We start from the raw sequence: 20,639 nt of genomic DNA on the forward strand, positions 1-20,639 counted from the left end.
CAATGCTTGGCACTTGGTGGGCATTCAGTAAGGAATGAATGAACGCACGCACAGAGGAATGAATAGATGGGCACACAGTGTGTGCCCTCACAGCACATGGCCCATCACTGGGTAGAAGGCAAGTCAGTAAGTAGACAGGGGTAATGCAGGGAGCCGAGGGCCTCCAGGTGGAGGAACATGGAGGACCACAGGAGCACAGAGCAGAGTTCTCATCCCACTGGAGAGCTTAGGGAACTTTCTGGATGTGATGCGTGAGCAGAGTCCAAAAGGACAAAACGGAGAGAGGGAAAACAAGGTGGAAGTTCTTGTTAGGTGCCACTGCCACCCCAGGGGGTCAGCTTGGGGGACTCCCTGGCTCTTGGGGGCCAACCGCAGAGCTGCCCTGTTCCCACCTATCAGCTAGCTTGGTGTTGGCACCGTGGAAGGAAAGTGAACAGTGTTGGAGATCTGGGACAGATGTGATATTAATACAGAATCCATTTCTTGGAGTGTTTTCCAACTCTTATTCCAAGTGGACACCCAGAAACATCCCTTTTAAATGTTAATGGGGTTTTTATTGACGGTATAAAGGTTAAGAGCTTGCGAAAGATACAATTGTCAGTACACTCCTTCCAGTTCCGGAGGCCGCCAGTAAGTGGCAGTCTTTCCCTGTCGCTGGCTGCAGGTCACCCTTGGCCTCGGTGGAACTTGTGTGGGTCATTCTCAGTCCATTTGAAAGTTGGGCCTGTTCGGTTGTGTATAATTTTCTGTTCATCATTTTTCTGGCAATCTCAGGACAGAAGTCCTCTGATCCTCCTGTGAGAAGTAAACATTAATGTTATTAGATTCTTTTTTTTTTTTTTGAGTTTCGCTCTTGTGGCCCAGGCTGGAGTGCAGTGGCGTGATCTCGGCTCACTGCAACCTCTGCCTCCCGGTTTCAAGCGATTTCCTGCCTCAGCCTCCCGAGTAGCTGGGATTACAGGTGCCCACCACCACGCTCGCCTAATTTTTTGTATTTTTAGTAGATACGGGGTTTCACCATGTTGTCCAGGCTGGTCTTGAACTCCCTACCTCAGGTGATTCATCAACCTTGGCCTCCCAAAGTGCTGGGATTACAGGCGTGAGCCACCGCACCCGGGCTGTTATTAGACTTGGAATGGGACAAAAGTCATATGAGACAGACTTGTTTGCTGAGGTATTTAAAAAACAAAATGGTCTAAGATGGCAGATTCTTGGGGAACTCTGCTCTGTGCACATTTCTGCCTATTAAAGTGGCCGTAAAAACAACCATAAATCCTTGATGAGGACACCTCAGGAGCTTTAGGACAGTGCCATTCTTTTTTAATTAAAAGCTTTTTATTTGATTTGATTTTTCTGTAGAGACAGGGTCTCGGCTATGTTGACCAGGCTGGTCTTGAACTCTTGGCCTTAAGTGATCCTTCTGCCTCAACCTCCCAAAGTGCTGAGATTATAGGCATGAGTCACCACACCTGGCCAGGGCAGTGCCATTCTAAGGCAACGGCTTCACCTCGGTCTTCTTTTCTGGGGTTACAGGAGATGGGAAGGGCCGAAGGTAGCATGAGAATGTGTGTGTGTGTGTGTTTGTGTGTGTGTGTGTGTGTGTGTATGTGCATGTGTATGTGGAAGGACTGGTGAGATGGCTGGAGGAAGAGGCAGTCCTTCTGCTTAACTCTAATGGCCTAAATGTGAGAAACAAAGATTCAGGAAATAAGGAAAAAGCAAATGAGTGATTGCCTCTCTGGATCAAGCACACCAGCAGGCACAACCAGCCTTTCTTGAGCTACTGTGTGCCGGGCGCTGTGCCGTGCCCTTGCATGCATGTGGATGCTTCATGAGTTCATGAAGTAGGTATGCTTCCAGCCCCATTTTTCAGAGAAAGAAACTGAGGCTGAACAATCTTGCAGCTGTCAAGTGGCAGAGCAGGGGTTTGAACCCAGGTCCAAGAGTTCTTAACCACCATGTTTTCCTGCCCTTGATGTATGAAATGAGATGATGTAGTCACATGCCAGCTTGTCTAGGGATGACTCAGAGGTTTAGAGATGGATGTCACGTGGATGTTGTACAGGAGAGGCAGGTATAAGCTGTAGTAAAGTTAGGAAAGGCACAGTGACGTGGAGCACTGTGTGCAGTGGACGGGGTCATGGCTGGGGGTGAGAATGGTGGAGGACCTTCGATTATTTCATCAGCGTTGTTTCTGTAACCAAAGAGCTGCATGACCAAACCCTGAGATCTAGTTCCTTAATAGGAACAATTATTCGGCACGATTCCCTTTACTTAAAAGCAGGGGCCGTCCTAAGGGAGGAGTTGGAAAGAGTTTGGGGGATAAGGTTTGCTTGGTTGCCTTCTGTTTAGGCTGATGTTCAGTGGGGGTCAAAGGCTGTGTGTCCAGTCCCTGGCATGTGGCGGGTGTTTGTGGTACACAGCCAGCCTCAGGATGGCCCCCAGGGATGCACACTGCCTTTGTGTGTGGTCCCCTCCCACACTGAATCAGGCTGGCTCTGTGCGACCAGTGGGAAGTGGTGGAAGTGAGTGATGATGTGTGACTTCTCGGGCTAGGTCGTAACAGGCATTGCACTTTGGCTCTCGGGAAGCCAACTGCCTTGCGTGAGGGTGCTCAGGCAGCCTCGTGGGGAGGGGTGAGGCCCCTGGCCCCCAGCATGTACAGCTTGCCACCACGTGAGTGAGCCAGCTTGGAAGCGAATTTCCCCGCCCCGGTCAAGCCTTCTGGTGAGTGCAGCTGCAGATGACATCTGACTTCCACCACTCAAGAGACCCCAGGTCAGTGCTGCCCAGCTGAGCTCTTCCCAGGTTCTTTATGTCCCCCGAAAATGAGCTGTTTTAAGTTTAGAAAACTTAAAAACACAGTGACAATGAAGCACAGATATGCATTACATACAGTCCCAAATCAGTAATGACTTCAAGCTGTGTCCTCTCTTTCCAAGAAAGACAAAGCAGAGAACAAAGTTCAACCTACAGTGTCTTCCCAAATTCTTGACCCACGGGATCTGTGAATATCTTATACGACTGAATTAAGCCTCTAAGTTTTGGGGTAACTCATGCAACATTAGGTAACTGGAATAGTGCTCAATAAATGTCTGTCACATGAATGGGCAGTGACCATGGATGCATTTCTAGTTATGTATTAGTTAAGGCTCTCTTGGTTTCAAGTAACAGAAATCCAACTCCAACTAGCTTGAGCAAAATGGGGCATTCCTCTGGTCAAGTAACGGAGAAATCCAAGAGTCTCTGGCTTCATGCATAGCGGGACCCAGTCTCAATTTCCACCTCCTGGCTCTGCTTCCCTTGATGCCAACTTTCAGGAATCAGCTTTCTGAAAGACCACTCTGCTAGAAACAGACAGGCCCATCCTTTCAACCAGGTCCAGGACTGTTTGCTCAGTCACTGCTCTCAGAGGCAGGGGCAGAGGCAGATGCCGGGCACACATCCACAGAAGTGGAGATGGCAGGAAACTGAGAGTGGAGTGCTGGAAAGCTGGCTTTTGCCTATGGGTTCTGCTTCTGACATCATCCGGCAATGTCAGGCTTTACATTGCCCCCATCTGCAGACCCAGCAGAAGGACAGCTTCCATCCCACCACATCAATATGCCAGTCCTGGGGCGGGGGAAGGACTTATGGGCAACCTTTGCAGAATCACTGGGGCCTGGCCGCACATGAGCCATGCCCACGCTTATGTGACAGGCGGCCCCTGTGCCTGGGGTGCTGTATTACCCAGAGGAATAAGTGATCCTGGGTGGGCAAAAGCAACAGAAGAGAAGTGAGCTCCACTTCCTTCCAAAACTTGAGAAGGCCTGGTCAAAATCACCCTCCAGGCCCGGTGTGGTGGCTCATGCCTGTAATCCCAGCACTTTGGGAGGTTGAGATGGGCAGATCATGAGGTCAAGAGATCGAGACCATCCTGGCCAATATGGTGAAACCCCGTCTCTACTAAAAATACAAAAATTAGCTAGGCGTGGTGGTGGGCGCCTGTAGTCCCAGCCACTCGATAGGCTGACAGGAGAATCACTTGATCCAGGGAGTCGGAGGTTGCAGTGAGCCGAGATCACACCATTGCACTCTAGCCTGGCGACAGAGTGAGACTAAAAAAAAAAAAAAAGAAAAAAGAAAAAAATCAGCCTCCATTTTTGGCTTTCTCTTTCATTAGAAAAATGAACCTGACTTTATGACCATGACAATGAAATGCCTAGAGAAGGGAGCACTCATTTTCCAGTGGGCCTACTGTGTGCTGGGGTGGCGAGACTCTTCCTGCCCTGGAACTTGGTGAGGTCAGGAGGGAAGATATGATATGACTGCCTTCCTCTGTACTTTTTCAGTGGGGGCAGGTGTTTATGCTTGATGATGCAATGGTGAGATCTTGGTTGGAATATGAACTTTTCTTTCTTTTTTTTTTTTTAGATGGGTTCTTGTTCTGTTCCCCAGGCTGGAGTACAATGGCACCATCACAGCTCACTGCAGCCTTGATCTCCCAGGGTCAAGGGATCATCGTGCCTCAGCCTGCTGAGTAGCTGGGACTACAGGAGTGCACCACCACACCTGGCTAATTTTTTTAAAAAAAATCTTTGTAGAGATGAGCTCTCACTAGGTTGCCCAGGCTGGTCTTGAACTCCTGAGCTCAAGCAATCCTCCCACCTTGGGCTCCCTAAGTGTTGGGATTACAGGCAAGAGTCACCACGCCCAGCCAGGATCACAGACGTTTAAATTACACTCCTTCTGCTGTGCCTTACAGCAGTAGAAGGGGTGAAATTTAAACGTCTGTGATCCTGGGGTTGTTGAAGATGCCACCCATCTACATATTCTTTCAGATGCACAATATTTCACTGTGTGAATGAAACAGCAGCCCTTCTTACGTGTGCTTTTGGAATTTGAAGATTTTGTAAGATAAGATGAATGCATTGGAACAAGTGATCCTCAATTCTGTGCAGTCTGTGCCTCCGGAGACTGGCGGCTGCCCCTCCCTGTCTAGTCTTGCAAGAGAGGCAGCTGGCAAGAGGACAGAAGCCGGCAGCTGCTGCGTTTTCATCCTGTTTCTGCTCTTGGAGCTGAGGGGGAGAGGTGGCTAGCAGCCACCCAGTGATCAAACTTGCAGCCTGCCTCTCTTGCTTCCTTTTCACAGACTGGAGTGTGCCTGGGTATGGAGAAAGAACATTTTGCTTCTTGCCTCTCAGAGTTTCAAGAACGCCTCACCTGAGTGGCATGCATTCACGGAATGAGTAATTATTACAGTGGAGAACTCCTCACTGTGAATTAATTACACAGATGATATTCAAGACTTAGACTGGGCTAGTGCAGGGGTTAGCAAACTATGGCCCACTGTTCTTGTTTTATAAATAAAGTGTTATGAGCACACAGCCATGCCCATTCATTTGCAGATTATGGCTGCTTTTGCCTGACAGTGCCAGATATAAGTAGTTGTGGCAAAGACCAGGTAGCCTAAAAAGCCTAAAATACTTGCTATCTGGGTCTTTACAGAAGACATTTTGTTGTTGTTGTTGTTTTTGAGATGGGGTCTTTCTCTGTCACCCAGGCTGGAGTGCAGTGGTGTGATCTCAGCTCACTGCAACCTCCGCCTCTTGGGTTCAAATGATTATCGTGCCTCAGCCTCCCTAGTAGCTGAGATTATAGGCGCCTGCCACCAAGCCTGGCTAATTTTTGCATTTTTAGTAGAAACAGGGCTTTACCATGTTGGCCAGGCTGGTCTCAAACCCCGACCTCAGATGATCTGCCTGCCTCAGCCTCCCAAAGTGCTGGGATTACAGGTGTGAGCCACCGCGCCTGGCCTATAAAATGTTTTCTAATCTGTTGTCTAGTGGGTGCTTTGTAAAGTTTAGTTTTAGGGGGAGCATCATTAATTCATTCAACAAGTATTAACTGAGCATCTCCCCTGTGCTGGGTGCTGCTTGGCATACTGGGGGTTTAGTGGTGTGAGAGAGACCGAGCCTCAGCTCTTAGGAGCACAGTGCTGATGGAGGACGAAAGGTAAACACACACATTAGAAGTTATTGGATAATGCCAGGCGTTACGAAGAAAAGAAGCAGAACAAGGCAATGTGACAGAGGATGATTGGTATCATGGAAGGTCTCTCTGAGGAGGCAGCATCTGAGCTGAGACCTGAGGAGGGGAAGGGCCAGTTTATGCAAAGATCTGGGGGAAGAGCTGCCCAGGCAGAGGGGACCATAATTGCAAAGGCCCCCAGGAGGAAATGAGCTCCCTGAGTTTCAGGAATAGCAAAGAGGCCAGGGTGGCCAGAGTCAAGTGATTGAGAGGAAGAGATGAGAACGATGGCAGGGACCGGGTCATGTGGGTGCCCTGGAAAGGAGTTTAGATTTTATTCTAATGGCAACAGAAGGCATTGGAGGGTTTAAGTAGGGAAAGGGGAGTGATCTGATGTATGTTTTTAAACAATTGCTTCTTTAAATTTTGAGGAGATTGGATTATTGGGAAGCAAGAATGAATTTAGGGAGAGAAGCAAAGAGGACGTTGTGTTGGTTTAGGCAAAAGACAGCAATGGCTTGGATTGGGGTGATGGAAGTAACAGTGGCAGGAAGTGGTGAGCTTGGGGCTATGCTTCAGAGATAGAGCAGAAAGGTCTTGCTGATGTATTTAATACAGGAGGTGAGGGAAGGGAGGAATCAACGATAAGTGAATCGTTTGTTTCTAGCTGAACCACTGAAATGTGTAGGTAAATTGAGACTTCTGTTTTGGCCATCATGAGTTTGAGATGCTTATCAGACACCCGAGTCTGCAGCCTGGGTGAGAAATCACGGCTGGAGATGAGACGTGGTGAGCTGGGAGTGTTTTTGGATGACAGATGAGGCCACGGGATTGAATAATAGGTATCCTTATGAAGACTGAGAAAAGGAGAGGGCTGGGGGCCAAGCCCTGGGACAGTGCAACCTTCAGAGGATGGGGGAGGAGGGCCCTGCCCAAGAGACAGAGAGGAAGTGGCCAGTGAGGTAGGGGGAAGTCCAGGAGAGGACAGTGTGGTGAATACCTAATGCTTTACTCATTCACTGGTGAATGAATGGATGGATGGATGGATGGATGGATGGATGAATGCATGAATATTCCTTAATAATATGGTTGGCCATGGTCCATCCATATGACTCCTACGGACACCATGTTACCATTTCACACTCGTCTTCTATTTAGGAGAAATCAGACGAAACTGCCATCTTATATATAGGTCAAAAATGGTTTCCATAACCACCCACCTCACATGCTTACTGAAATTCATTAAGTAATAGATGGGGTGGGGGGCGGGAGGTTTACAGGTCGGCAAAGGAGGCAAGGCTAGAGTGATCCATGTGGCAGTGGATTAGAGTGGCAGGCATCAGTATGAACACATGTTTAGCTCAATATAGATACAGATGGCTACATAGAGAAATATTTATGGATATGTGCATATACACAAATTAGTAAGACACACGTTACTAATCCTGGCTGTCAGCGAAGAGAGCCTAGAAGCAAGGATACCCCAGTAGCAACAAACCTCTGGTGCCCAGGTCTCTGTTCTCCAATAAACACCATTCTCCAGTAAAAGGAACCAGGCTTCTTGAACAAATGTCGATCCTAGGACCGAGGGAGGAAATAGATAAGAAGAACCTGAAGCATCTTGTAGGGTCACAGGGTGAGGAGGCGCGAAATGAAACAAAATGAAACTGCTGCAGTGATGGGGCATCTCAGAGGGACACAGGAGCCAATGGAAAAGCTCCCAGGGGTCAAAGCCAGAACAATTTGAGCCCCAAAAAAGTACTATTGGATTAGAATTCAAAGAATAAATACCCATGATTCCATACTGCTATAAATGATCAGATAAGAGAGAAGAGACAAATCTCCCAGGCAGAAGAATTCCAGATTATTTATTTATTTATTTTTATTTAATTTTTTTTTTTACACAGGGTCTTGCTCTGTTGCCCAGGTTGGAGTGCAGTGATGTAATCTTGGCTTACTGCAACCTCCACCTCCCAGGTTCAAGCGATTCTTGTGCCTCAGCCTCCCGAGTAGCTGGGATCACAGGCATGCGCTGCCACACTCGGCTAATTTTTTGTATTTTTAGTAGAGGCGGGGTTTCACCATGTTGACCAGGTTGGTCTCAAACTCCTGACCTCAAGTGATCACCCTCCTCGGCCTCCCATTCAAGTGCTGGGATGACAGGTGTGAGCCACCGTGCCCGGCCCCAGGTAAATTATATAGCTATTCCATCGTCAAGGAGGTGGAGCGGACTTCCCACATCCTAAGTGTGGGCTGTGCATAGTGACTCTCTTCCAAAGAGTACAGTGTGAAAAGAGAGGAGAGAGTAACTTTACAGTGGAGAACACGGACAGACACTACCTCAGCCAGGTGATCAAAGTCAACTTCAATAGCGGCAAGTCATCTTGAGAGAATGCGTGCCTGATACAGAGTGCTGAGAATGATTCTTAAGCTCTGTGGTCCTCCTCCTCAAAACACACACAAGCCAAGACTAAGGATGAGAAGCATCTGCCAAATCCCAGTTGAGGAACATTCTACAAAATACCTGGCCAGCACTCCTCAAAATGCTCCATGTGGTATCCTGGAACAGAAAAAGGACATTAAGCAAAAACTAAGGCAATCAGAATCAACTATGGACTTTAGGTGGCCAGGCACGGTGGCTCGCGCCTGTAACCCTAGCACTTTGTGAGGCCGAGGCCGGCGGATGGGTTGAGCCCAGGAGTTCAAGACCAGCCTGGGCGACATGGCGAAACCCCATCTCTACAAAAAATACAAAAAATTAGCCAGGCTTGTGGTGTGCACCTGTAGTCCTAGCTACTCGGGAGGCTGAGATGGGAGGATCACTTGAGTCCGGGAAGTCAAGGCTGCAAGTGACCCGTGATTGTGCCACTGTATACCAGCATGGGCAATGAGAGTGAGACCCTGTCTCAACAAACAAACAACAAACAAACAAACAAAAACAAATTCTCTGGGGATGGTAGCAGGCACCTGTATTTCCAGCTACTTGGGAGGCTGAGATGGAGGATCGCTTGAGCCAGGGGAGGTGGAGGGTTGAGGCTGCCATGAACTATGATCACACCACCACACTCCAGCCTAGGTGACGAGCAAGACCCTGTCCCCACCCCCCTAAAAAAAGTATGGACTTTAGTTCATAATGCATCAAGCTATGGGGTACATGGAAACTCTCTGTACTGCTTTCACCATTTTTCTAAAACTGTTCTAAAATAAAAAATTTACTTAAACATTTATTTAAAAAAAAAAACAAACCATTTGAGTACCAACAGTGTCATATGCTCAACTTAGCACATCTTTTTCCTGGTTTGGTTTGTGGGCGTGAATGTGTACTGAGCCATCTAAACCTTGGTTGCCCGACCTTCACCGTAGCCACTGACCCAGGTTAACAGACAAAAGGCCCAGGTTAAGGTTATGCCCAGTGGCCATAAAATAGCCCAGCATCCAGACTGCACTCCTTGATGTACCCAAAAAAGCCAAGGAATAGGACGGATGGGCGGGGAGTGGGGGGCAAACTACTGCCCATTGCCCAACTCTGGCCAGCTGTCTGTTTTATAAATAAAGTTTTATTGGAACACAGTCACACCCATTCATTTATTATCATCTATGGCTACATTTGCATGACAATGGCAGTGTTGAGTAGTTGCACCAGAGATCGTGTGGCCCACAAAATATTTATTATCTAGCACTTTACAGAAAAAGCTTGTCAACCTCCAGGACAGTGGCCACAAGTTCTGCCATCATCTCATCCCTTAGCAAGAAGGGAAAGGAATGCCCATTAAGGCACAAATTGTTTTCTGTTGTTGTTTGTTTGTTTGTTTGTTTTTGAGACGGAGTTTCAGTCTTGTCGCCCAGGCTGGAGTGCAATGGCGTGATCTTGGCTCACTGCAACCTCCGCCTCCCAGGTTCAAGCGATTCTCCTGCCTCAACCTCCCGAGTAGCTAGGATTACAGGCGCCAGCCACCACATCCAGCAAATTTTTGTATTTTTAGTAGCGACGGGGTTTCACTATGTTGACCAGGCTGGTCTCGAACTCCTGACCGCAGGTGATCCACCTGCTTTGGCCTCCCAAAGCGCTGGGATTACAGGTGTGAGCCACCGTGCCTGGCCACAAGGTGGTCTTTTAACAACAGAGCACACAGCTGGACAAAGCCCAACGCTCTCTTCTTTGGGGCCGAGGTGGGTCATTAATATTGAACATTTACAATGTACTTGCTCCAGGTGATTCAGTTTAATTTCTGCCGTCTCTTGTAACAGGGCTCCCACGTGCACGGGTTGGGGCCGTGTGTCTGCCTCTGCTTTCTGAGGCCCCACAGCGTATTGATTCTGCGAAACGTACGTTTCTTTGAAAACAGCGTCTCTTGACATGACAGGAGATCACACATCGCTTGTTTTCTGTCCCTTTCATTGCCCTCTGAACATGATAAAATCATGACCTAGTGTCACCGAGGGACCTCAGCATCTCTTGGAAAGAAGGACTTGCCTTCTTTTTTATCTTTGTCAAGCCAGTGAGGCCAAGTAGAAAATTTTTAGCAGCTTTGGAGCCAGACAGATCGGAGTGCGAGTTCTGCCCGTTATTGACTGGACCGTGTGACCCTGGGAGAGCCGCCTAGTGTCTATGAGACGGAGGCTGTTGGGCAAGAAAATGGGGATGGTCCCAGCATTATGGGGCGGTTGTGAGAATTCAGTGCAATGATGCAGTGCTCCCAGAACAGCTGGTCTAGGGCTTGGCTCATGGGACTGTCCCTTCGCAGAGGCAGCGTGGACATTCCGCTGGTATCCACTGGTGTGGCTGTGCCTGTTTGGTCACCGTGTCTGTTCTGATTGGTCGGTGCTCCTGCATGTCAAGAGTTCAATGTTATGAAAATCATCCCTGCCTAGAGATGAATTCCCCCTTCCCCTGAGGTCTAGACTGGTATAGCTGCTTTTGGAGCCTCACCTGCTGAGAGCTCACAGCTGTCCTTCTCTAGAGAATCACCCTCAGATGGGAGCCACATTGCCTGGGATGGGATGCCATGCCCAGTAATGGCCCAGTGACTAACTGATACAGCAACGTGAATGGCTGGTCCCTGCCCCACGGTGGGGACGATCCTGTGGCGTGCTCTCTGCTGCTCGTGGGATAGGTCAAGGCGGGACTTTAAGGGACCACATTCTCACTCTGCTCTGTCCCCTTCTGCATCCTGTAGTCCTCACCTCCCTTCTCCTGAAAGCCCCTTTCAAAACAAAAACAAAAACCACATCCACCCAAGTCCCTGTCTCCAGCTCTGCCTCCAGGAAAGCCGGCGGAAGGCCGCCAGTCTCAGCTGTGACAGATACAGATATTTCTGCATTTCCAGGACTGAGGTCAATCCCTGGGGACCCAGTGAGGCGGTATCTGAAGGGCCATGGAGCTGGCTTGATGGGGTCTACAGGTAGGCAGGGACCTGGTGGGGATGTGACTCAAGGATTTTTATCAAATATCTTTATCCCCTGACAGATGCAAAAAAAAAAAAATGAGATCAGACTCCAGGGTTTCCTCCATGCCACACTGTGGCCCCATTGTTTGTTGTGCTATCAGCAGAAGTTGATTTTGCAAGGAATGTACACGTGTATGTGATGTTTGAATGCACCTATCTGTGTGTGCGTGCATTTGTGTGTGTGTGTGTGCATTCGCTTGTGTGTGTGTGTGTGTGTGTGTGTGTGTGTGTGTGTGTGTGTGTGCTGAGGATGTGAGCCCCACTTCCGGCCCAGTGCCCCTGCCCAGGCTGGCTCTGCCCTCCTGCTGCTCTGGGCCCCTCAGGCAGTGACTACCTGGTACATAGGGAAGGCATCAGCATCCCTTATTCATGGGGACTGTATACTGTCTCCACCATATTGGGCCTTTTGGCCTCTTGGACATGACTTGGCCTCTGCTGGCTTTAAGGGACTGCCAGAGATGCCATCTTCTCTGGGAAATGTTCTCAGCCTGGGCACAGCCCACTAACCACTGCCTGCTTGTCTGAGACTTCTCTGTCCAGGAAAACAGCCCAGCCTGACCAGAGATGGGCATAGAGCCATATTTTGGGAAAGACTGGTTGGGGGTCAACTTGGTTTCTGGAACCAGTTCTGATTTCAGTTGCAGGGGACAGTGAGCCAGTTACTGCCCACTGGCTGCATCCTAAGCCTTCCTAGAGGAGAGCTAGCCTCCTCCTAGGGTTGCCCAGGCTGGACCACTTCTGCCTGGGTGATGGGTTGGGAGAAAGACGTTAATATTTGGAGCAGTGTTATATTAGTCAGCCCTCCCATTTGCAAACATTAGAAAACCAGCTCAAATTAGTGATAAAAGAAAATCTCAGCTGAATTAAATTTAAAGTAGTTTAATTGAGCAATGAATGATTCGCGAATTGGGCAGACCCCAGAATCACAGCAGATTCATAGAGACTCCAGCGCAGCCACGTGGTGGAAGAAGATTTATGGACAAAAGAAGGGAAATGATGTACAGAAATCAGAAGTGAAGTACAGAATGGCTGGATTGTTACAAGTTGGCGTTTGCCTTATTTGAGTACAGTTTGAACACTCAGCAGCGTATGAGCGGTTGAACTACGGCCTCTGGGATTGGCCAAGACTCAGCTATTGTTACAGGCGCATACTCCTAAGTTAGGTTTTCAATCTTGTCTACCTATTAAGCTAGGTTGCAATTTGTCCACAAGGACTCAACTATAGAAGTACGAAGTCCCACTCAGGCCATATTTAGTTCACTTTAACACTAGCTTCGGCAACTGTCTCTCAGAGCCCAGGGCAGGGCAGGGATGCAACTGGGCTTCAGGAAACTTGAATTCATTGACTGTCTCTTCCCCATCTTAGATGCAGTGCTAAGGGCTTTTTAGTAATTTTCTCATTTGACTCTCAAAACAAACTGATGAGGAAACGGTCTGAGAGTAGTTAGGCAGCTTTTCAAGGTCACACAGATAGTAAATGTCATCACTGGGACTTGAACTCAGGTCTTTCTGACTCTCATGTCTGTGCAACATGTCATCTCAGCCACTGTTGACACTGTATATGTGGATTAGGGTTGGCTAAACTGCTGTAACAAATAGACCCAACTCGAATGGTGCATGTATGTACAATAGGGGTTTATTTCTTATGATATAGTTCACGGTGGTCCCAGGTGAATAAGGATGGGTAGGTCTGCATTTTTCATAATCATCTGGGTTTCTGCTCAGGCTCCTAGAGTCTCTGCCACCTTCCCCATGTGGCTTCCAAGGCCACCTTGGAGACAGAGCTTGGTGGAGCACATGTGGTAGGATTTTTTTTGTTTTTTTGAGACGGAGTCTCACTGTATTGCCCAGTCTGGAGTGCAGTGGTGCAATCTCGGCTCACTGCAACCTCTGCCTCCCAGGTTCAAGCTATTCTCCTGTCTCAGCCTCCCTAGTAGCTGGGACTACAGGCACCTGCCACCACGCCTGGCTAATTTTTGTATTTTTAGTAGAAATGGGATTTCACCTTGTTGGTCAGGTTGGTCTCAAACTCCTGACCTCAGGTGATCCACCCACCTCGGCCTCCCAAAGTGCTGGGATTACAGGCATGAGCCACCACTCCCAGCCAGTTCTTTTTTTCTTTTTTCCATTTTTTTTTTTTCGAGACAGGGTCTTACTCTGTTGCCCAGGCTGGAGTGCAGTGGCACAATCACGGCTCAGCGCAGCCACTGCCTCCTGGGCTCACACGCTCCTCCGGCCTCAGCCTCTCGAGTACCTGGGACTACAAGTGTGAGCCAGTTTGGCTAATTTTGGCTAATTTTTGTAGAAACGGGGTCTCGCCATGTTGGCCAGGCTGGTCTCCAACTCCTGGGCTCAAGGGATCCACCTTCCTCCCCCTCTCAAAGTTCTGGGATTACCGGAGTGACCCACTGTGCCCTGCTGGCAAATTTCTTAAACTGTGCCTCAGTGACCTCATTTAATAAAGGGAATAATTGTAGCACACTTTTTCTAGAGCTGTGAAGATTCAATGGAATAAATAAGGCAATAAATGAATGGATGGGGAATGAAGGATGTGGGTTTCCTCCCTCTTGTCTTTCAATAAGCTCTCACCATCAACCTCCCATTGCCTGTTCTCTCTCTTCCCCCTCTCTCCCTCTGTCTCTCTCTTAGCCAGGAAACCTGGGGTAGGGAGGCTTGGAGCCAGCGGGTGCGTCGGGAGGCTGCGGGTACTGACTGGGGACGCGCACGGAGATTGCGGGAGAAGGATCCACGCCGCGGGAGAAGGATCCATGCCGCGGGAGAAGGATCAGAGTGGAGCCTGTGGCTGCTGCAGGAGGAGGAAGCCGCCGCCTGGCCCACACCACAGGAGAAGGGCGGAGCCAGATGGCACCCTGCCCACCGCTTCCCGCCCACGCACTTTAGCCTGCAGAGGGGCGGAGCGTGAAAAATACCTCGTGCGCCTCGGCCGACTCTACAGTGCGACGGGCGGAGCTTCCAGACGCTCCGCCCCACGTCGCATGCGCCCCGGGAAAGCGTGGGGCGGAGCTTCCGGAGGCCCCGCCCTGCTGCCGACCCTGTGGAGCGGAGGGTGAAGCCTCCGGATGCCAGTCCCTCATCGCTGGCCCGGTCGCGCTGTGGCGAAGGGGGCGGAGCCTGCACCCGCCCCGCCCCCCCTCGCCCCGTCCGCCCTGCGCCGCGCGGGGAGGAGGAGGAGGAGCCGCGGCGGGGCCCGCACTGCAGCGCCAACGTCCGAGCGGGCGGCCGAGCTCCCGGAGCGGCCTGGCCCCGAGCCCCGAGCGGGCGTCGCTCAGCAGCAGGTCGCGGCCGCAGCCCCATCCAGCCCCGCGCCCGCCATGCCGTCCGCCGGCCCCGCCTGAGCCGCGGCCTCCGCGCGCGGGCGGGCCTGGGGACGGCGGGGCCATGCGCGCGCTGCCCTAACGATGCCGCCCGCCGCGCCCGCCCGCCTGGCGCTGGCCCTGGGCCTGGGCCTGTGGCTCGGGGCGCTGGCGGGGGGCCCCGGGCGCGGCTGCGGGCCTTGCGAGCCCCCCTGCCTCTGCGGCCTAGCGCCCGGCGCCGCCTGCCGCGTCAACTGCTCGGGCCGCGGGCCGCGGGCTGCGGACGCTCGGTCCCGCGCTGCGCATCCCCGCGGACGCCACAGCGCTGTGAGTAGCGGGCCCAGCGGCACCCGGGAGAGGCCGCGGGACGGGCGGGCGTGGGCGCGTTCCCTGGCCCGGGACGGGAAGCAGGACGCGGGCCAGGACGCTCCCAGGGCGAGGCTCCGGCGCAGCACAGCGGCCCTGCTAAATAAGGAACGCCTGGAGCCGCGGTTGGCACGGCCCCGGGGAGCCGAAAAACCCCGGGTCTGGAGACAGACGTCCCACCCGGGGGCTGTGCAGACGCCAGCGGGGGCGGGGCGCGGAGGCCGCGCTCAGCTGGGAGGACAAACAGTCGCTAATTGGAGAGGAATTGGGATGCGGCCTGGGGCTGCGGGGTACCCGGAGAGGTGGGGATGGCTGTAGGGGGCTGCAGGGAAGAGTTCCAGGAGGTGTCTGGACAAGGATTTGATGGATGTGCAAGAATTGGGCTGATGCTTAGGAAGGGGCGATGAGGTGGGTCCAGAAGAAGGGGGGTGAACGGTGTGAGCAAAGACCGTGAGGCTGGAGGCTGGCCACGGGAGGTGTGAGGGGTAGGGGCAGGGTGGGAGGTGGGCTCGCGGGTGGGCTGGGGTCATGAAGGGCCTCAGGCGCTCTGCTATTGGGTTCCAAGGCTATCCTGAGAACAGGGGTGAGGGCGGATTGCCGTGGGGGGTTAAAGCCTTGTCATGTTCGCTTTCGGGAGATAAAAACAACAGGTGGCCTTTATGGAGACGCTGCCCAGAGCCAGGTCTGTGCCAGGCTCCTGTTGGGGGTCGTCATGCGGAATCCTGACTCTGACCATCCGAGGCATAGGGACCGTGGAGATTTGCATTTCACAGATGAGGAAACAGGTTTGGAGAGGTGACACGACCTGTCCCAGGCATCACAGCCAGGACAGGACCTGTCCCAGGCATCACAGCCGGGATGTGCATAGCAGGGGTTTGGAACTATGAGGTGCCCAGGACCCAGGGTTGGATTGAAAAGGGCGCAGGGGACTAAGATAAGCAGACAGTTGTCCCCAGCGCTGGGGAGAGTCTTGGGACCAGTCTGATGCCTTGTATTTCCCAGGCTCCAGGCTCCTCGCCGGGACAGTGTCTCTTTGGGTGCGTGCTGGATCCCTGGGGGACGTGGCACATCCCCAGGCTTGCTAAACATTGGGTGGGTTCTGGCATTTGGTTTTGTAACGTTTCTGGGTCACTCCCGCCTGTGGCCACCCTTCCTTAGGGGAGCCGTGTGTCCTTGGGGCTTTGCTGGGTGGTCTCGAGGGTGGGAGAAGAATGGGTTCTCCTGGACCAATGGAGCCCGTGCCCCTCGGGGCCACATTGCTCCTGCGCTCCCTGACTGCGGACGCGTGTGTCTCGCGGCTGTCTCTGTGGAGATGGCCTCCTCCTGCCTGGCAACAGCACCCACAGAATTGCATCAGACCTACCCCACCCGTTGTTTGTGATGCTGTAGCTGAGGGCTCCTCTGTCTGCCAGGCCGGTCACTGGGGACTCTGTCCAGGTCCTGGTGGTTCCTGCTTCCCAGCACCTGATGGTGTCCATGAGAGCAGCCCCTCGGGAGCTGTCCGGGAGAGAAGGGCGCTGGTGGCTGCTGAGCGGAGAGCAAGGCCCGTGTTCTCCAGGCCCTTGGCACAGCAGTGGAGCCCCCGCCCCTGCCTTGTGTTGTCCTCTTAGGCTCTGGTCCTGGGGTTTGGAGGAGGGGGACCCTGGGGGTTGGTGGCCTGTCCCAGCCTGAGCTGGCAAGATTCCGAATGCCAGGCCCCTCAAGTGTGCAACAGGGCACAGGGTGACCTCATGTGGGCAGGTGGGTGCTGTTCTGTACACACCTGGGGCCGCCGCTGGGAGAGTTCTGGAAGGTGGGGTGAGGGGACCCATGGGAAACTAGGGCCCTAGGAAGGATGTGAAGGCCCTGGCTGGCCCCCCAGGCCACCCTCTGTGCTGTGGGGCAGCCCAGCCATTTTGCTGTCTACCCTGCAAACTCCTCCTCGGGGAGACGGCTGGGTTTTCCCCAGGGAAGAGGGGTCAAGCTGGGAGAGGTGAAGGACACAGATCACAGCTGCTGGCAGGTGTTCAAGGGTCCAGGAGCGTTGCTGTCTGGGTGTCACCAGTAGCCTTCCTGGGGGGCTCACGCAGGTGCCTCTCCACTTGTGGCTCCCTGGCTGCTGAAGCTCAGCAGGGACAGCTGTGTCCAGTTCCAGGTGGAGGACAGCCGGGGCTTCTGAGGCCACAGCCTGCCTTGGGTTAATGATGCTGCCGAGAGGTGGTGGCTTTTGGAAAAGATGGCGTACTGCAAAACGTGCTGCTCTGCGTGGCTCGAAGCTTCGTGGGGAGACGTGGGCAGAGCCGTGGCTGACTCACAGACCCCCCACCCCAGAGCCTGCCCTGCCCTCCCTGCCCCGACCCTTCCCCTCCTGACCCATGTGTTTTTTTTTTTTTTTTTTGAGACAGAGTTCACTCTTGTTGCCAAGGCTGGAGTGCAATGGCACGATCTCGGCTCATGGCAACCTCCGCCTCCTGGGTTCAAGCGCTTTTCCTGCCTCAGCCTCCCGAGTAGCTGGGATTACAGGCGTGCACCACCATGCCTGGCTAATTTTGTATTTTTAGTAGAGACAGGGTTTCTCCATATTGGTCAGGCTGGTCTTGAACTCCTGACCTCAGATGATCCGCCCGCCTCGGCCTCCCAAAGTGCTGGGATTACAGGCATGAGCCACCACGCCCAGCCCTGACCCATGTTTTGAACCAAATTCCAGCCACCCTTTTATCTGCAAGCATTTTGGAGGGCATCGCAATACTGCAGACCCACCTAACACAACAGACAATTCCTTCATGCCACCGAAGGCCTGGTGTGTTCACATTTTTGGTTTAATAGTTTGAATTAAGAGCCAAATAAGGTCCACACACTGCAATTAGTTGATGTCTTTTTTTTTTTTTTTTTTTTTTTTTTTTGAGACGGAGTCTTGCTCTTGTCTCCAGGCCGCAGTGCAGTGGCATGATCTCAGCTCGCCGCAACCTCCGACTCCCTGGTTCAAGCGATTCTCCTGCCTCAGCCTCCCGAGTACCTGGTAGCTGGGTTTACAGGCATGCACCACCGTGCCCAGCTAATTTTTGTATTTTTAGTAGAGACGGGGTTTTACCGTGTTGGCCAGGATGGTCTCGATCTCCTGACCTCGTGATCTGCCCACCTCGGCCTCCCAAAGTGCTGGGATTACAGGCGTGAGCCACCGCACCCGGCCAATGTCTTTTAAAAATATATACTTTTTTTTTTTTTTTTTGAGACAGAGTTTCGCTCTTGTTGCCCAGGCTGGAGTGCAGTGGCGCGATCTCAGCTCACGGCAACCTCCGCCTCCCGGGTTCAAGCGATTCTCCTGCCTCAGCCTCTCCAGTAGCTGGGATTACAGGCGTGTGCCACCATGCCTGGCTAATTTTGTATTTTTAGGAGAGACGGGGTTTCTCCACGTTGGTCAGGCTGGTCTCAAACTCCTGACCTCAAGTGATCCGCCTGCCTTGGCCTCCCAAAGTGTTGGGATTACAGGTGTGAGCCAGCGCGCCCAGACAAAAATGTGTATGTGTGTCTTTAAGGCTGGTCAAGCAAAGCAGTGGAACTGGAGAAAGAATGAAGAATTCTACCTGGCTGTGATCAATTCGTTGTGAACACCACTGTGCTTGGACCAGCTAGCTGATGTCTTTTGTTTTGTTTTGTTTGAGACGGAGTCTGGCTCTGTCACCCAGGCTGGAGGACAATGGTGTGATCTCGGCTCACTGCAGCCTCCACCTCCCGGGTTCAAGCGATTCTCCTGCCTCAGCCTCCTGAGTAGCTGGGATTACAGGCGCGCGCCACCACGCCCAGCTAATTTTTAAAAATATTTTTAGTAGAGATGGGGTTTCACCATGTTGGTCAGGCTGGTCTTGAACTCTTGGCCTTAGGTGATCTGCTTGCCTCGGCCTCCCGAAGTGCTGGGATTACAGGTGTGAGTGATGTCTTTTATTTATTTATTTATTTATTTATTTTTTATTATTATTTGAGATGGAGTCTCACTCTGTTGCCCAGGCTGGAGTGCAGCAGTGCCATCTCGGCTCACTGCAAGCTCCGCCTCCTGGGTTCACACCATTCTCCTGCCTCAGCCTCCCGAGTAGCCTGGACTGGTGCCCGCCACCACGCCCAGCTAATTTTTGCATTTTTAGTAGAGACGGGGTTTCACCCTGTTGGCCAGGATGGTCTCGATCTCTTGATCTCATGATCCACCCACCTTGGCCTCCCAAAGTTCTGGGATTACAGGAGTGAGCCACCGTGCCCAGCCATCTTTCTTTTCTTGCTTTCTCTTTCTTTTCTTTCGAGACCGGGTCTTGCTCTGTCGCCCAGGCTGGACTGCAGTGGCACAATCATAGCTCACTGCAGCCTCGACCTCCCTGGCTCAAGCGATCCTTCCTCCTCAGCCCCCCGAGTAGTTGGAACTACAGCTCCACACCACCATGCCTGGCTGATTCTTTTTTTCCTTGTAGAGATGGGGTCTTGCTATGCTGTCCATCCTGGTCTCAAACTCCTGGCCTTCCCAAAGCACTGGGATTACAGGCATAAGCCACCACAGCCAGTTTCCTTTTCTTCTTTTTAACTGGAATAGTTGACTTTTTCTTTATTAGCTGTGTGTCAGGAGGGTATTTTTGGCCTTTAGTATGTCGTCTAAGTTGCTAGTGCTTTTCTGAGATTGTAGTTTGTTTTCTAATTTTATTTATATTTTGCGTAGAAGTTGTGTATTTTAGATGGAGTTAGGTCGGCTGGTCTTTGATGTTTTATTTATTAATTATGTATGTATTTATTTATTTTTGAGGTAGAGTCTCGCCGTTTCACCCCAGCTGGAGTACAGTGATGCGATCTCAGCTCCCTGTAGCCTTGACCTCTCTGGGCTCAAGTGATTTTTCTCTCCTCTACCTCCCGAGTACTTGGGACCCCAGGCGCATGCCGCCATGCCTGGCTAATGTGTATTTTTTTGTAGATACGGGGTCTCACTGTGTTGCCCAGGGTGGTTTCAAAATCCTGGGCTCAGGCGATCCTTCCGTCTCAGCTCCCACGGTGCTGTGTTACCGGCGTGTGCCCCAGTGCCTGGCCGTCTTGGAGGTCTTGTTTCTCTGGGTTTATGCCTCAAGGTGGCGCCTGCTCCCCTGTGCTCCCTGGTAGCCTGGTAGTGAGCCTGCTTCTCACACAGTCATACCTGGTTGTGGTCCCACAGTGGGACCACCCTGTTGGGTTCAGAACAGGAGATGGGGGCCCCTCGAGTCTGTGTGGGGGCTGTGGACAGGGTTGGGAGACCTTGGCTCTGTGGGGGACTGTGGACAGGGGATGGGGGGCCTTGTCCCTGCGTGGGATGGGTTGGGGGTCCGTGCCCTTCCTGGCCCTGGGTGGACAGGTCCAGGTGGCACTCGGCATAGGGCTGAGATGGGTGCAGAGGGCTGAGGCCCCCAGGCCTCTCCCGGCTTGGTTTCCCCAGATGAGTGTTCATTTGGGTCTTCCATCAGAAAGGCCCCTCCTGACCTCTGGGAGTGGGGAGCTCAAGGGTGGGAGGCCATAGCTT

At 52.1% G+C, this 20,639-nt stretch overlaps 1 long non-coding RNA gene, 3 other non-coding genes and 1 pseudogene across 5 annotated transcripts in view, besides 1 other annotated feature; 4 read left to right on the forward strand and 1 right to left on the reverse strand.

The window, feature by feature from the left end:
* Positions 1-500: 500 nt before the first annotated feature.
* Positions 501-20,607, reverse strand: LOC101927469 (uncharacterized). Its single transcript, XR_933116.3, has 4 exons — positions 16,500-20,607; positions 8,350-8,569; positions 7,508-7,587; positions 501-795 (listed from the first exon to the last, which is right to left on the reverse strand). It is a non-coding gene; the product is annotated as an uncharacterized LOC101927469 (long non-coding RNA).
* On the forward strand, positions 4,698-4,781 carry MIR3179-1 (microRNA 3179-1). The gene has a single exon (NR_036140.1). It is a non-coding gene; the product is annotated as a microRNA 3179-1 (primary transcript).
* On the forward strand, positions 10,907-10,971 carry MIR3670-1 (microRNA 3670-1). The gene has a single exon (NR_037442.1). It is a non-coding gene; the product is annotated as a microRNA 3670-1 (primary transcript).
* Positions 14,410-14,503, forward strand: MIR3180-1 (microRNA 3180-1). Its single transcript, NR_036141.1, has one exon. It is a non-coding gene; the product is annotated as a microRNA 3180-1 (primary transcript).
* PKD1P3-NPIPA1 (PKD1P3-NPIPA1 readthrough) overlaps positions 14,952-20,639 on the forward strand; it is a 40,299-nt pseudogene continuing 34,611 nt past the window's right edge. The window contains exon 1 of the transcript NR_146231.1: positions 14,952-15,097. The product of NR_146231.1 is annotated as a PKD1P3-NPIPA1 readthrough (transcript). The remainder of the gene's footprint in view (positions 15,098-20,639) is intronic.
* Positions 16,592-17,379: an enhancer, noted in NCBI's record as "H3K27ac-H3K4me1 hESC enhancer chr16:15007259-15008046 (GRCh37/hg19 assembly coordinates)". NCBI's record gives its function as "activates a minimal SCP1, AML or CMV promoter by ChIP-STARR-seq in primed H9 embryonic stem cells {active_cell/tissue: H9 hESC(primed)}" and the evidence as "EXISTENCE:reporter gene assay evidence [ECO:0000049][PMID:30033119]".

This window comes from Homo sapiens, chromosome 16, assembly GCF_000001405.40.
Source record: "Homo sapiens chromosome 16, GRCh38.p14 Primary Assembly".
Lineage (NCBI taxonomy): Eukaryota > Metazoa > Chordata > Mammalia > Primates > Hominidae > Homo > Homo sapiens.